General features: G+C 38.6%; 1 protein-coding gene and 1 non-coding gene across 4 annotated transcripts in view; one reads left to right on the top strand and one right to left on the bottom strand.

Moving 5' to 3' along the window:
• Window positions 1-649: 649 nt before the first annotated feature.
• NDUFB5 (NADH:ubiquinone oxidoreductase subunit B5) overlaps window positions 650-17,274 on the bottom strand; it is a 22,854-nt gene continuing 6,229 nt past the window's right edge. The window contains exons 2-6 of one of the 3 annotated variants that reach the window (NM_002492.4): window positions 13,238-13,326; window positions 12,248-12,314; window positions 11,253-11,314; window positions 9,776-9,882; window positions 650-4,377 (exon numbers count right to left, since the gene is read on the bottom strand). In NM_002492.4, coding sequence (NP_002483.1) covers window positions 4,257-4,377; window positions 9,776-9,882; window positions 11,253-11,314; window positions 12,248-12,314; window positions 13,238-13,326 — 446 coding nt within the window. In that variant the 3' untranslated portion in view covers window positions 650-4,256. The remainder of the gene's footprint in view (window positions 4,378-9,775; window positions 9,883-11,252; window positions 11,315-12,247; window positions 12,315-13,237; window positions 13,327-17,274) is intronic. The other 2 variants (NM_001199958.2, NM_001199957.2) reach the window with 2 other exon arrangements.
• LOC124906348 (small nucleolar RNA U13) lies at window positions 13,419-13,522 on the top strand. Its single transcript, XR_007096315.1, has one exon. It is a non-coding gene; the product is annotated as a small nucleolar RNA U13 (small nucleolar RNA).

Genomic DNA, 17,274 nt, shown 5'->3' with positions numbered 1-17,274 from the left:
CAAAGGAATCTACAGATTCAATACAATCCTTATCACAATACCAGTGACATTCTTCACAAAAATAGAAAAAAAAATTCTAAGATGTATATGGAACTACAAAAGATCCCACATAGCTGCCAGTGTCTTCAACAAATTGTGCTGGGAAAACCGGATATCCATATGCAGAAGAATGAAACTAGATCCCCATCTTTCACTATATATAAAAATCAACTCGAAATGGATTAAAGATTAAATGTAAGACCTGAAACTATAAAACTATTAAAAGAAAACATTGGGGAAATGATAGAGGACATCGGTCTGGGCAAAGATTTTTTTGGGTAAGATCTCAAAAGCACAGGCAACAAAAACATAGAAAGACAGATGGGATTATGTTGAGCTACAAAAGCTTCTGTAGAGCAAAGGAAGCAATTAAAAAAGTGAAGAGACAACCTACAGAGTAGGAGAAAATATCTGCAAACTATCCATATGACAGAGTTTGGATATTCGTCCCCCCAACTCTCATGTTGAAATGTGATTCCCAGTGTTGGACGTGGGGCCTGGTGGGAGGTGATTGGATCATAATGGCAAATTTCTCACGAATCGTTTAGCATCATCCTGTTGATGCTGTCCTCACAATGTTGCAGGATTTTTAAGGAATCAGAGAGACCGATGGGGTTCAGGAGAATATTTATTATTTAGGTGCTCCGGCCCAGTCAGATTAACATCCAAAGGACTGAGCCCTGAACAAAGAGTTAAGTTAGCTTTTAAGCATTTCGTGGGGCAGGGGGAGATCTGTGCAGGGGGAAGCATATTACAGAAGCAAGAAACAAAGACAGTTATTCAGTCAAGACATGCATTACATCATTTCTTACTTTTCAAGGAAAAACATGTTTTGCGACTTGAGTTTATCTGTCTAGTGACCTTGCAGCTGCACAGCTAGGGAAACAGGGTCTTCACAATGCCTGGGAAGGGAGGAGAGCTAACACTCACTAGCCACCAGAAAAACAGGCAGTGAATTTTTAAAGGACTCCAGCTCTTTCTCTTTCTCAGGGGGAATTGGGTTTTCTTACGTACAACTGAGTTTCTGCTTACACACTCTTTGATTTCTTTTAATTCCTTTTCTAACAACAATGAGTTCCTGAGAGATCTGGTTGTTTAAAACAGTGTGTGGCATCTCCTCCACCTCTCTCTCTTGCTCTCTTGCCATGTGATGTGCCTGCTCCTGCTTTGCTTTCTGCTATGAGTGAAAGTTCCTTGAGGCCTCCCCAGAAGCCAAGCAATGCTGGTGCCATGCTTCCTGTACAGTCTGCAGAACTATGAGCCATTTACACCTTTTTTCTTTATAAATTACCCAGACTCAGGATTTTCTTTATAGCAACACAAGAATGGCCTAACACACCATCTAACAAGGGATTCATAACCAGAATATATAAGGAACTCAAACAATTCAATAGCAAAAAACCCATAACCTGATTAAAAAATGGACAGGCTGGGCGCAGTGGCTCACACCTGTAATCCCAGCACTTTGGGAGACCAAGGTGGGTGGATCACAAGGTCAGAAGTTCAAGATCACCCTGGCCAACATGGTGACACCCCCTCTCTACTAAAAATACAAAAAAATTAGCTGGGTGTGGTGGTGCACACCTGTAATCCCAGCTACTCAGGAGGCTGAGGCAGGAGAATTGCTTGAACCTGGGAGGCGGAGGTTGCACTGAGTCGAGATCGCACCACTGCACTCCAGCCTGGGTGACACAGCAAGACTCCATCTCAAAAAAATAAAATGGACAAAAAGGCCAGGCACGCCTAAAGTACCTGCACTTTGAGAGGCCAAGGTGAGCGGATCACTTGAGCACAGGAGTTCAAGACCAGCCTGGGCAACATGGTGAAACCCAGTCGCTACAAAAAATACAAAAAAATTAGCTGAGCATGGTGGCACTCGCCTTTGGTCCTAGCTATTTGGGTCATCCTGAGGTGGAATGATCACTTGAGCCCAGGATGTGGAAGCCCAGATCACCTCCAGACTGGGTGACCCCAATTCAAAAAAAAAAAAAATTTAAAAAAAGGGCCAGAGATCTGTATAGACATTTCTCAAAGGAAGACATATGAATGGCCATTAGATATGTGAAAAAATGCTCAACCATAATTAGGGAAATGTAAACCAATACCACATTAAGATATCTCACCCCAGTTAAAATGTTCATTTGAAAAAAAAGAAAAAATAACAAATGCTTGTGAGGATGTGGAGAAAGGGGAACGCTCATCCACCATTGGTAGGAATGTACAGTAGTACAACCACTATGAAGAACACCATGAAGGTTCCTCAAGAAACTACACATAGAATTATCATACAATCCAGCAATCCCTTTGCAACCTGTGTCCATCAACAGATAAATGGATATAGAAAATGTGGTATGTATGGACAATATTATGAAAAAGAATGGGATTCTGTCATTTGTAGCAACATGGATGGAACTGGAGGTCATTAATGTAAGTGAAATAAGCCAAGCCTAGAAAGACAAATATTGAATGTTCTCACTCATATGTGGGAGATTAAAAAATGGGTCTCATGGAGGCAGAGTAGAAAGGTGGTTACAAGGCTGGGAAGGGAAGGGGAGAGTAGGAAATTCAGAAAAGTTAGTTAATGGTTACAAGAATACATTTAGATACAAGGAATAAGTTCTAGTATTTGATAGTACAGTAGGTAAATTATAGTTAACAATAACATATAATAATATACTTATATATACTTCTAACTTGCTATATCTTATTTTGAAATATATAACTATATTTTGAAATATATGTATATTCAAATACCCTGATTTGACCATTATACTTTGCATACATGTATCAAAATAGCACATTACAAGTACATTATCAATAAAAATAATAAAGTTATTTGTTGAATGAATGGCCTGTGGCTTTTCAATTCACTTGTGTGTTTAGGCAGCAAAAAATTATTTCTCCATTTGGCCTTAAGTGGAGACCCACTGGCCTGAATCTTAGGAAGCCTGGGTTCATTTTTATTTTTATGAAGAATGTAAAACATACTTCTAAGATGAGATGCATTGATAAGCTGTTACAGGTTTGAAAATCCTGAATGTTTATGGTAAAAAGCCATTTTGGAAGTTGAAGTGTAAATGTTTTAAATGTTTATTTTTGTAAATACTGAGTTTGTGTTTAACATCTGAGCCTCAGGTACTAAATACTACCTCTTGTCATTTTGAAAATAATGTTGGGTGCAGTGGCTCAGGCCTGTAATCAGCACTTTGGGAAGTGGAGACAGGCCAATCACCTGAGGTCAGAAGTTCAAGACCAGCCTGGCCAACACAGCGAAACAGTCTTTACTGAAAAATACAAAAATTAGCCGGGTGTGGTGGTGGGTGCCTGTAATCCCAGCTACTTGGGAGGCTGAGACAAGAATTGCTTGAACCCGGGAGGCGGAGGTTGCAGCCGAGATCACGGCACTGCACTCTAGCCTGGGTGACAGTGCAAGATTTCGTCAAAAAAAAAAAAAAAAAAAAAGAAAAGAAAATAATGTTAAAAAATGCAGTTATTTAATATAGTGTCTAGCAGACAATAAATGCTTAATAAATGAGTCATTTTTAGCTTTTACTCACATTTTATAATCTCTGCAGGAATCACATTACCTAGTGCAACTACTTCCCCAAAAAAGGACTCTAAGGGATCCCAGAGATTGCATCTAGGAAAAGAGCGTGTGTGTGTGTGTGTGTGTGTGTGTGTGTGTACGTGTCTGTGTGTCTGTGTGTAGTTTAAAAAAGAACAATACATGGCAAAAAAAAAAACCATGAAAGCATTATAAACTTTAAAATTTGTTTACTGAGAATCTGTTTATTAAGGAGTTAACATTTTAGAGTTGGTTCAATACTTTATGGAACTTAAAATCCTGAGTTGCCCCTCAATAATACAGACATCTACAGTACAGGCATTTGTACAAAATACTATAATTACTGGTGCTTAACATTATTAGACTTCTATAACTTCCATTTGTCAGGTAAATAAAACACTAACCTTTCAAAGTTGCTACAATTTTAGGAGTTCACAAATTCCTATTTCTCCAGTTTTTATTAGTACATTTTAAACCTTCTTTGGGGACTGGAAGCCAAACTCCTCAAACAAAAGCCTCAATCTGAACCAACACTGAGAGACAGTAATGTCAGAGGCTCTTTTGTTTTTCACGGAGAGCAAAAATACAGAATATATTTATTAATTTATTTTCCAATAAAGAGAATATACTTTGTATTTGGAGAAAAAAATGCTTAATTGTCAGGAGTTGCTTTCGGAGAATGATCAATAAGTTCCTTGTCAATTGTCTCATAGTAATACCAGGGTCCATCTCCTCTCACATGCATCAATTTTCGCACTTCCAGCTCCTTTACCCTGTAACAAATGGAACAGCAATATTGAGATTCCAGCACTTCCAATTATAAATTTAATGAGCCATTTCCATAAAGGACAATCACTGGAGTCTGCTTTTATGTAAAGTATAATGCTCCTCCACAGACCCTTATGTAGGCATACATCTGGTATATATCTATAACCAAAATTTGGGACTTATTTTTGACTTTTATTATGTTGCTTATATAGATAGCTATCAAACAGTTTTTTTGTTGTTTTTGTTTTTTTGAGACGGAGTCTTGCACGGTTGCCCAGGTCAGAGTGCTATGGCGCAGTCTCAGCTCACTGCAACTTCTACCTCCCAGGCTCAAGTGATCCTCCTGCCTCAGCCTCCCAAGTAGCTGGGACTACAGGGGCCCACCACCATGCCCAGCTAATTTTTGTATTTTTAGTGGAGACAGGGTTTTATCATGTTGGCCAGGCTGGTCTCTAACTCCTGACCTCGTCGTGATCTGCCTGCCTTGGCCTCCCAAAGTGCTGGGATTACAGGCGTGAGCCACCGCACCCGGCCTACCAAACAGTTTTTAACACCAAAACATTACTCAAATTGATAGCGAATTCTCTCCTTCAGTGTGCCTGCACAGATCACTTTCATCTGAATTGTTACAGTGCTTTTCCTATCTTCTCACCTTTTAGATGCTAGGAGAGTCATTTACAGAATGTCTACTACTATGGCCATATGCTGTGCCAGGTGTTAGGAATTAACAAATGAATAAGCTTTTTTGGAGTTTCACATCTTGTGTCTGCCTATCACCATTAGGACAGAAAACTTTTCGAGAGTAGAACTGGTTTTTTATTCACCAGCATTATACCAGGCCCGGTCAACATCAGATACTCAGTCAATATTTATACAAACATAAATAGAAAGCAAGAAAAATCAAGATTAAGAAAAATATTCTCCAACTCTAACATCTACTTACTTGTCCTTGTCCTTCTTCACAAATTGAATAATCTCTTATTTTATACAGGTGCTTTCCCTCTTCCATATCTAAGTCTTTGCACAAACAATCACACATTCCTGAAGTAGTCCCTTCTCCATCAAACCTTTTACTTTCTGTTTTTATAGAATACATAGTTTTTCATAGGACTAAAAATTTATCACAGTTAAATAAGTCACTTTATGAACCTCAACCAGCTCACTTACCCTATGGGAGATTATATGCCTTTGTGAGGTTATGTTTATTGATCTTTTTTGAAGGATTAAATAACGTTCTCTTTCTTGTCTACTCTTTAGAGTATAACTATCCAAACCGTAATTAAAATATTTATCAACATGAGACTAACTGGTTAAATTATGATTCATCCACATAATGGACTACTATGTACCTACTAAAAAGAATAAGGAGAATCTGTATGTAGTAACATGGGAGGAGATGCTACATATACTGTTATGTTTTTAAAAAGCAAGGTATAAAATAAGCATGTGTAGCACCTTCCTATTTCATTAAAAAATAGTAAGCTGGGAGCAGTGGCACGTCTGTAGTCCTAGCTACTCAGGAGCTGAGGTGGGAAGGTTGCTTGAGCTCAGGAGTTCAAGTCCAGCCTGGGCAACAGAGCAAGTCCCCATGTCAAATAAAAAAAAAACAAAAACAAAACAAAAGACAAAAACAGGCTGGGCAAGCTGACTCATGCCTGTAATCCCAGCACTATGGGAGGCCAAGGCAGGAAGACTGCTTGAGCCCAGGAGTTCGAGATCAGCCTGGCCAACAGAGCAAGATCCCATCTCTACCAAAACAAACAAACAAACAAAAAAACCCCCCTAAACAATTAGTTGGGCATGGTGGCCAGCACCTGTGGTCCCAGCTACTCAGGAGGCTGAGGCTGGAGGACTGCTTAAGCCCAGGAGGTCGGGGCTGCAGTGAGCCATGACTGCAACACTGCACTCCAGCTGAGGCAACAGAACGAGATCCTGTCTCAAAAAAAGAAAAGGAAGACATGGTGAATATTAAAAAAAATAATTTTGGAATTACATATTTACTGATTTAATTATCATCAGAGATCTCTGTATGACACAAAATCCCAAAAGCTAAAGACTGTCAAACCTGACAATAATTATAAATGAGTAAATACATAGAAAGTAATTAAAACACTGATATTAAATGTACTCAAAAATTTATTAGCGGCCAGGTATGGTGGCTCACGTATGTAATCCCAGCACTTTGGGAGGCTGAGGCAGGCAGATCACTTGAGGCCAGGAGTTCAAGACCAGCCTGGCAAAACCCGGTCTCTACTAAAAATACAAAAATTTGCGGGGTGTGGTGGCGGGCGCCTGTAATCCCAGCTACTCGGGAGGCTGAGGCAGAATCGCTTGAACCCGGAAAGCAGAGGTTGCAGTGTGCCGAGACCACGCCACTGTACTCCAGCCTGGGAGACAGAGCAAAACTGTCTCAAAAAAAAAAAAAAAAGAAAAAGAAAATATTATTAGTTACTATTACAGATTTGTTACCTGAAAATGTAAAAACACTTCTGTGTTGCAAAAATTTCTACACTGCCAAAAGACAATATATAGAGAAAGAAATACACATAGCCAGGTGCAGTGGCTCACGCCTGTAATCTCAGCATTTTGGGAGGCCCAGAGGGTGGATCGCTTGAACCCAGGTGTTTGAGAGCAGCCTAGGCAACACGGTGAAACTATGTCTTTACAAAAAATACAAAAATTAACTGGGCATGGTGTCATGCACCTGTAATCTTGGCTACTAGGGAGGCTTGGGTGGGAGGACAGCTTGAACCCAGGAGACCAAGGCTGCAGTGAGTCAAGATCATGCCACTGTACTCCAGCCTGGGCAACAGAGCAAGACTTTGTCTCGGGCGGGGGGAAGAAAGAAAAGAAATACACACAATTAATAGATATTAAAAAAACTACTCAACTTTACAAAGAAATATAAAATTGAAATGATGAGGTAACATTTTTCAATTACCCTATCAACAAAAATGTTTCACTTTGATAAATTCCATTACAGAGAAACATGGAAAACTGAAACATGGAAACTGATGAAGAAACAACTGGTGCAACTTTTTGGAGAAGAGTTTGGCAATATCTACCCAAAGTTTAAAAGCATGTGCTATTTGGCTTATTAATGCCACTTCCAGAAATTTATTTTCCAGATATGTTACATAAATATGCAAACAATATGGGGGAAAATTAAACACAGCAGTATGTACAATAGCAAAAAACTTGGAAAGAACCCAAGTACCAGCAATAGGGGACTGGTTAAAAAAACACAGGCACTCCAAGTCAATCCTAAGCCAAAAGAACAAAGCTGGAGGCATCACGCTACCTGACTTCAAACTATACTACAAGGCTACAGTAACCAAAACAGCATGGTACTGGTACCAAAACAGAGATATAGACTAATGGAACAGAACAGAGCCCTCAGAAATAATGCCGCATATCTACAACTATCTGATCTTTGACAAACTTGACGAAAACAAGAAATGGGGAAAGGATTCCCTATTTAATAAATGGTGCTGGGAAACTGGCTAGCCATATGTAGAAAGCTGAAACTGGATCCCTTCCTTACACCTTATACAAAAATTAATTCAAGATGGATTAAAGACCTAAATGTTAGACCTAAAACCATAAAAACCCCAGAAGAAAACCTAGGCAATACCATTCAGGATATAGGCATGGGCAAGGACTTCATGTCTAAAACACCAAAGGCAATGGCAACAAAAGCCAAAATTGACAAATGGGATCTAATTAAACTAAAGAGCTCTGCACAGCAAAAGAAACTACCATCAGAGTGAACAGGCAACCTACAGAATGGGAAAAAATTTTTGCAATATACTCATGTGACAAAGGGCTAATATCCAGAATCTACAATGAACTCAAACAAATTTACAAGAAAAAAACAAACAACCCCATCAAAAAGTGGGCAAAGGATATGAACAGACACTTCTCAAAAGAAGACATTTATGCAGCCAAAAGACACATGAAAAAATATTCATATCACTGGCCATCAGAGAAATGCAAATCAAAACCACAATGAGATACCATCTCACACCAGTTAGAATGGTGATCATTAAAAAGTCAGGAAACAACAGGTGCTGGAGAGGATGTGGAGAAATAGGAACACTTTTACACTGTTGGTGGGACTGTAAACTAGTTCAATCATTGTGGAAGTCAGTGTGGCGATTCCTCAGGGATCTAGAACTAGAAATACCATTTGACCCAGCAATCCCATTACTGGGTATATACCCAAAGGATTATAAATCATGCTGCTATAAAGACACATGCACACATATGTTTACTGTGGCACTATTCACAATAGCAAAGACTTGGACAAGCCAAATGTCCAACAGTGATAGACTGGATTAAGAAAATGTGGCACATACACACCATGGAATACTATGCAGCCATAAAAAATGATGAGTTCATGTCCTTTGTAGGGACATGGATGAAGCTGGAAACCATCATTCTTAGCAAACTATCGCAAGGACAAAAAACCAAACACTGCATGTTCTCAGTCATAGGTGGGAATTGAACAATGAGAACACATGGACACAGGAAGGGGAACATCACACACTGGGGCCTGTTGTGGGGTGGGTGGAGGGGGGAGGGATAGCATTAGGAGATATACCTAATGTTAAATAATGAGTTAATGGGTGCAGCACACCAACACGGCACATGTATACATAACTAACCTGCATGTTGTGCACATGTACCCTAAAACTTAAAGTATAATTAAAAAAAAAAAAAAAAAAACAGGCACTCAGCACCATAAGAGAGGGGAAAAAATATATGTGTCTAGCTTTTTAATATGTATATAAAATATAATGTATAAGAAAGAAAATCCACATAGCTTTCCATAACAGCATATATCCCTTTCTTTTTAATGGCCACATTATATATTTCACTGGATGGATATACCCATCCATCTGCTTCCCAGCTGGGGCAACAGAGCAAGACTTCCACTCTAAAAAAAAATTCAAAAATTTAAAAAAGAACTCTTTAATCTGACACATATCTCCTAATAGTCTCCTTGTCACCAGTTTATAGTTTTCACTCCAAACAAGCTAATTCTATCTTTATCCATTTTTTTTTTCCTTTGGAGACGGAGTCTCACACTGCCACCCAGGCTGCAGTGCAGTGGCATGGTCTTGGCTCACTGCAACCTCTGCCTCCTAGGTTGAAGTGATTCTTCTGCCTCAGCCTCTTGAGTAGCTGGGATTACAGGCACGTACCACCACGCCCGGCTAATTTCTGTAGCCTCCCAAAGTGCTGGGATTACAGGTGTGAGCCACTGCATCTGGACGTATCTTTATCCTTTTACATAAAGTATCCTATAGTGCTGAAATATTCATAGTTTTATTAATTTTTTCTGGTGGTTTGCTACCTTAGGAAGATTTTCTTTCCCACCTACCCCCTCGTTTTTCCTACCGTAATTCAGCCTTTTCAGCTTCAATCTGAAGGACGGCCATTGTTCTTTCATATATCTTTTCAGGACTATCATAGAAATTACGGGCAATCCATCTTGATATGGGATGCTACAAGAGAAAATTCGTTTAATATTAGTCCATTTCTGAATAATACTTTGCTTTTCTAGTTGACTATTCTTTAAAATGATCATTTCAGTTAGATAAACCAGTAACATCTACTATGTAACTAATATACCTATATATAAAATAATTTTAACAGATGAGGTGGATACTATTTTTGTCCGCATTTTAAAGATAAGTGAATTGCACAAAGTTACGTAGCTAATAAATGGCAGCACCTGGACTCAAACCAGGTCTGTCTGACTCCAAAGCTGTGTACTCTTTTCCATTACACTATGCTGAGTATCTTAGGTGGCAGATTCAGAAGACAAACCCAGGTTTTGGTAATTCAAAAATGGAGCTCTTTGCACCAGTTAGCATAAACAAACTAAGTGTAAGGTCTGCCTTAAGATTTAATGGTTTAAGATTTGTATTTAAAATATAATTCATTCAGATAATAAAACATGATGGGATATACTCCATTCAAGGCTCACAATAACACTTGTTAAAACAAGTAACAAAATTAATTTTGGATTTTGGTAGCAGTGGCAGTATGGTATAATGACCAACAGTTCAGGCTCTGGAGTCAAAGTTGCCCGGGTTGAAATAGTGACCCCATCTAGACAGGTCACTTAACTCTTTTAGCCTCACTTTCTTCATCTACAAAGAGGGAATAATAATAGTACATTTTACATGGGATGAAATAATAAATATTTGTAAAACACTCAGCACAGTACCTGTTACATAGTAGGTGCTCAATAAATGACAGCTAGCATTAACATTGGTGAAGTCTCTCCTAAGGCATTGAACTTAGGATAAATTATGTTACTCTGTTAGGCTGAGAACACACTGCAATCATTCTTTAAAAAATTGTAAAGCTTAAAATGATTTTTTTAAAAATGAAGTACCAAAATTCGTTGTTTATAAAAAGTATGCAAAAAAATGTATCTGCTTGATATAAAAAATGAAATATAAAACTCTATCATGGCTGGTCACAGTGGCTCACACATTTAATCCCAGGACTTTGGGAGGCTGAGGTGGGTGGATCACTTGAGGCCAGGAGTTCCAGAAAAGCCTGGCCAACATGGTGAAATCCTGTCTCTACTAAAAATACAAAAATTAGCCAGGAGTGGCAGCACACACCTGTGATCCCAGCGACGTGGGAGACTGAGGCATGAGAATCGCTTGAATGCGGGAGGCAGAAGTTGCAGTGAGCTGAAATCGCGCCACTGCACTCCAGCCTGGGCAACAGAGCGAGATGCTGTCTCAAAAAAAACAAAACAAAAAACCTGACTATATCATAATTGCTGAATTAAGACATTAACTAGTGCGTTGACAAGGCATGTAACAGTATGTAATTGTCAATGTCCTATACAAACCTTATAATATTCCCAGTGTTCTGGGACATAGCCTTCTGGAATTTCTGCTAGTTCAGCTTGACCTAATAAGAAAAAATGGTTATGTTTAACTTTAGCATGAGGAGTTTATAAAATTAATTATTCACCATTAAAGTAAGAAACCAACTTCTTGTGGTTTTAAAGGATTCTTTAAAAAATTTGTACCAATGAAGATATGTAGTATTTTTAATTCACTTTAATCTGGTTGAAAATCAATTCATTTGTTAGACATTTTTAGACATCTCTCTGTGTAAGGCATTATTTATAGGTATTCCATGAGTTTCTCATTTTGTTTTTCTATACTGTAACAAGATATAATAAAAGACATATTATTCCTTCTGGTCTTCCCTATACCTATGATACAAAACATTTTAGGATTCAAGGTGTTAGAAGTACTTTGAACAAAATTTCCCACGAAAATCTAATGTTTACTGTCATTGACACTTTCAGTCTTTGTAAGAGGATTATAGTTTTTTTTTGGGGGGGGGACAGAGTCTCACTCTGTTGCCCGGGCTGGAGTGCGATGGCGCCATCTCAGCTCACTGCAACCTCCACCTCCTGGGTTCAAGCCATTCTCCTGCCTCAGCCTCCCGAGTAGCTGGGATTACAGGCGCCTGCCACCACGCCCAGCTAGTTTTTTGTATTTTTAGTAGAGACGGGGTTTCACTATGTCAGCCAGGCTGGTCTCGAACCCCTGACCTCATGATCTGCCCGCCTCGGCCTCCCAAAGTGCTGGGATTACAGGCGTGAGCCACTGTGCCTGGCCGAGGATTATAGTTTTATATGTTCTAGGATGGATTAAAAAATTCTTAGTTCAGATTGAGATTTGGTTATTTTAAGATAAACTGCCATGCTTATGCTTAATTATTTAAAGAGCTTTTCATTACAATATCCATAATTTCTTTTTTATATTAATGTACATATGTTTAAAAATTTTTCCAATCTGGTGGTGCTGGCAGGGGATGGAAGTGACTTACCAATGAATACATTCACCAGAGTTATGAAAATTGCTACTGGAATCCCAGTCAATGCAATGTAGAATCTCTAAGATAAAAAAAAAAGTGTTTCTCATGACCATTTCGTAACTCTCCCCACACACAAATCATCCTCATGATATGATTTCCTCATATTTCTTATAAAATAAACTTGCCAAATTGGGCATACAGTACCAAATTATTGATTTCTGTGATTTTACTTTTTGGTAAAGCAATGCCATGAAAGAAAATAATATGTTAAGAACAAAAGTCTAAAAGCATCAGGGTGATTTCTACCACTAAATAGGATTTGAGCTGGTCATAACAAGAAAAGTAAGGGCTCAACCAAGGAGATGAAAAAGGTCATTAAACACAACGGAAGGGCAAGAGAAAGTTTTAAGGTCAGTACTCAAATGATGATTCAGAGCTTTATCTACCGTGGCAGATGGTCCAGACAATCTCCCATTTTCTAAGCCTCTACTTTGTTCGTATAGAGCCTTGAGACAGAAATATAGTCAGCATTCTAAATAAGCAATGTAATTATATTATTGCTAAATTAAGATTGCACTATAGATCCCTGTTACTCTCTGAAATAAATGTTCCTGAACAACATATAAATATAAAATCATATCCCAAAATAATGTAGCTCCTTTATTTAAGCAAGTCTTTCAACAAGTTCTTTGGTAATTTAAAGAATATTTTAGTTATAGGAACACAGATTCTATTTCGAAACGCCATAATCTTCAGAAGAAAGGAATGGTTCAAGTTTTACCTCCATTTAGTGTAAATCCTTTTGTGAAGAAGGAAAGCTTCACTAATTTAAAGAGAAATTCAATAACAAATCAGACTTTACAGTCTCAGTATCTTCTACAGAAAGAAATATAAATTTACAAAATAAAATATTTCATAAAATGAAAGATGTTTTCTAAAGAGGCAAAAATTTTTTCCCTGTTACATGCAAAGACTTTAATTCAACAAAAAATTTAAACTTACCAATAACTTCAAAAAACGCCTGTCATAGAATCTAGAAGGTCTGATGACAAATAGTCTTTTCCCATGGTCTCCACTGTGTCGAACAGGAGCTGGGAATATTGAATTACCCTGTTTTATACAAGGTTCATATGGGTATACTGTTATATTCTGAGTTAAAATCAGATTATAAAAAAATACAAGGATCCTTTTGTAGCTCATAAGCAGGATGACTGGGTTTTCACACTCAGGTGTGAGATGTGCCTCCCTCAAACCTTGTTATGAGGTAGGCACATTACCCATCTGACATGAAACAAAAAGAAAATATACATTCTTAGATGTTTAATATGAGTTAAGATTTTAAAATGTCTTATTTGAGTAATAAGGCCAGGTCAGATAGGGTATCTTTAAACAAAGATGGATCTACTGTTCTAAAGCATAACTTTCCTCATTTTAATTCAAAGTTAAAGTATCTAAATAATCATTTTAATTTGTTTCAATAGCAGGCAGGGAGGTTAGGTACTTAATGAGCTGCTCATCTGTGTCTCCTCTGCAACAAATATTTGCTAATGCTGCAAAAGAAATACATTTAATTTAAATTATTCCATTATGCCATTTCACATGACACATTATCTGTATTATATGTATTATTATGCTGCAAAATAGATGGAAAGGACCAGCCGTATTTACTCAACAAATCACCAGCAGGAATTAGAACTTGTTATCAAACTACACACTCTAAAATATCTTGATAAAATCACGTGGTAAACCATTGCTGATTAAGAATATCCTCTTCAAGTCTCCCCCTGACAGAATTTAATCAAGCCTTGCTGGAAGTAAACTGAGGCAAAATTTCACTTCTGGATCCTCTTTTTATATTCTTCCTCTTGAAGGTCTGCAAGGATCACTAGAGGCATTCCAAGCCCTTTCCACTGGGAACAGGAAAGGATCTAGCTGTTACTTAGAAACTGAAGGTTCCTATCTTTTCACTGTGTAACTACTCTCAAGGATATTTTGCATGTGAGTCACTGTAGAATAAAAAACTTTAATTTCCCATTAAAGGAATTTCAGTCATAATAGATGTCAGAAAGATCTGAATCTTTTGTTCATGTTTAATGTCTGGAATGCTGTCCCCTCTCCTGAAATCTATGTTAGGCCCAGATAACATCTTATCTTCCAAGATGCCAACATTTTTCCCAACCACACGAGATCTTTCCTACTGTTGAATTACTGTACGTTATTGTGACATGTATATTTGTGTTTACTGCTGCCACTTTTAAGTATAAATATCTTGAAAGCAGGAACTATCTTCTTAATTTTGGTAACATCTGCAGCAGCTTGCAGTGAGTTTGGGAGGTTGATTCACAAGAGAATTAGAAACTGGCATGAATTTACTACATATAATTCATACTACTAAGGCTTTTTAAATAACAAGATTAAGAGAATTTGACAAAGTAAGTATGGACTTCAGCAAATCATCTGAAACATACATAATTTTTTTTGTGGACTAGATGAAGAAAACGGGTTGGATGACAGTACAAAGTACTCATTAATTCAATACATATTTAATTGCATACTATGTGCAGATCCTATGCTAGAACTATATACGGTCTAAGAGGGATATAGATCTTGCTGGGAGAAATACACACTACACAAGTAATTACAAATCTGTAAGGGTAACAAGGGAAAGAAATAGGATACAGTGGCCCAGAAGAAAAGTTCCTATTTAGACAAGATGGGGGGGTTGGGAAGAGGGGACATTATAAGCTGAGAGAAAGAGGAAGTTAGAGAAATTTGTAATGGGTACTTGATTGACTGTAAGCAAAAGGTACTGATTAATTACTGCAGTAACCTGGCAAAGAGATCTCTCAAAAGCCCTGCAGCATCAAGGTTTTTATGAATGGCTTAGATGAGGTGGATACAGCATTCCTGACTTGTCGAGTCTTAGAAACACAAAGCTACTGCTACAAGAGTGGCCATGGGGTCCCAAAAGAGTCTTTACACACATTACAAAAGGCTAAATCTAAAAGGATTCAACATAATAAGGTAAGTGGAAGTTCCGCCTGGAACTCCCAGAAATTTAGTTGCTCACAAAAAAGCCAAAGGCCAATTCAGTCTTAATCTGATACACTAGAAGCACAGGGTCAAAACAGGATGATCTTCCCTGTCGCTTATCCCCTGACTACACCTGCAGAAATGTGTCCATTCAAGAGCATACTCTTTTAGAGGGACAATCTATTTTCAGCTTAGTATTAGTTTGGTGCAAAAGTAACTGCAGTTTTTGCAACTGAAAGTAATTGCGGTTTTTGGCTGAGCGCGGCGGCTCACGCCTGTAATCCCAGCACTTTGGGAGGCCGAGGCGGGCGGCTCACGAGATCAGGAGATTGAGACCAACCTGGCTAACACGGTGAAACCCCGTCTCTACTAAAAATACAAAAAAATAGCCGGGTGTGGTGGCAGGCGCCTGTAGTCCCAGCTACTCGGGAGGCCGCAGGAGAATGGCGTAAGTAAACCCAGGAGGCGGAGCTTGCAGTGAGCCTAGATCGCGCCACTGCACTCCAACCTGGGCGAGAGTGAGACTCTGTCTCAAAAAAAAAAAAAAAAAAAAGGTTTAATGCACTTAGTAATGTGAACTGCTTGCTCTTTCTTTACACATATTACCCAATTATTAAACAATTAGTCATGTCATTAAAGGTCCTAGATAACTTATTAATATTGTTTCAAAGTATATTTCATAGCATGTAACTTTTTTTTTTTTTTTCCAGAGACAAGGTTTTTTGCTATGTTACTCAAGCTGGTCTCAAACTCCTGGGATCGAGAGATCCTCCCACCTTCAGCTTGCGGAGTAACTGGGATTACATCACGCACCACCACAACCAACTTGCCTTTAACTCTTTTTAAATGTTTTGAGCCTTCAGGATTGTTGATGTAGTAGGGCCATCTGCTTAAATCTAAAAATATTAGTGTGTAACCAGGAATGGTGGTGCATGCTTGTACTCCCAGCTACTCGGGAGGCTGAGGCGGGAGGATCACTTGAGCCCAGGAGTTTGAGGTCAGCCTGAGCAACATAGCTAGACCCTTCCCCCTCAAAAAAAAATTAAATTATTAGGGTGAATATTGCTTACAATGAGGTGACTACCAGGATTTCTGGAACCCTGAACCTCCTGACACCAAAAATAAGCATCTTTCACTGCTCTCTAAAGCCTGAAATTTCTCCATTAAGTATTTATTAATTTCATAGGCCCAAGGCTTCAATGACTAATTTTTAAAAATGCACGTAGCCTCAGAAAAGTTATTAAGCCTTTGATGATTGCGATTTTTATAAGAATTGAATAAGATAATGTGGGAATGTGGGAACTTTTTGTGTGTCAAAGACAACAACTGGGCCGGGCACAGTGGCTCACACCTGTAATCCCAGCACTTTGGGAGGCTGAGGCGGGCGGATCACCTGAGGTCAGGAGTTCGAGACCAGCCTGGCCAACATGGTGAAACCCTGTCTCTACTAAAAATACAAAAAATTAGCCAGGCCTGTGATCCCAGCTACTCGGGAGGCTGAGGCAAGAGAATCGCTTGAATCCAGGAGGCGGAGACTGTGGTGAACCAAGATCGCGCCACTACACTCCAGCCTGGGTGACAGAGCGAGACTCCGTCTCAAGAAAAAAAAAAAAAAGACAACAACTGAAAATTGGTCATTTTCTTTCCCTCATTCCCAGTAAAGGGCACCACCATCTCAATTACCTTGGATAAAAATCTCAATCATCTTCCTTGCATCTATCCTTCATTCATCATTTGCCAAGGCCTCTTGATTCTAAGAGTTAAATTCTCCATTTCATTCCATGCCTTCTTTACTTTACTGACCTAGGTAATCAACATCCCCTATAAGCCATCCAATATTCAGAAGCATCTTCCTATAACACACTCCTGATATTGCTCTTCTGCTACAACACTCTGTTGCCTACAAAATCAAATGAAGATACGTTGGCTTTGTAGTCAGTCCCTCCCCTCCCCCAATTTGGTCCCAACTTTCCTTTATTTGCCTTTTCTCCCAACGCCTACCTACC

This window comes from Homo sapiens, chromosome 3 (assembly GCF_000001405.40).
Source record: "Homo sapiens chromosome 3, GRCh38.p14 Primary Assembly".
NCBI classification, from domain to species: Eukaryota; Metazoa; Chordata; class Mammalia; order Primates; family Hominidae; genus Homo; species Homo sapiens.
Note: the sequence above shows the minus strand (reverse complement) of the source record. Positions and strands in the feature narration are given on the sequence as shown.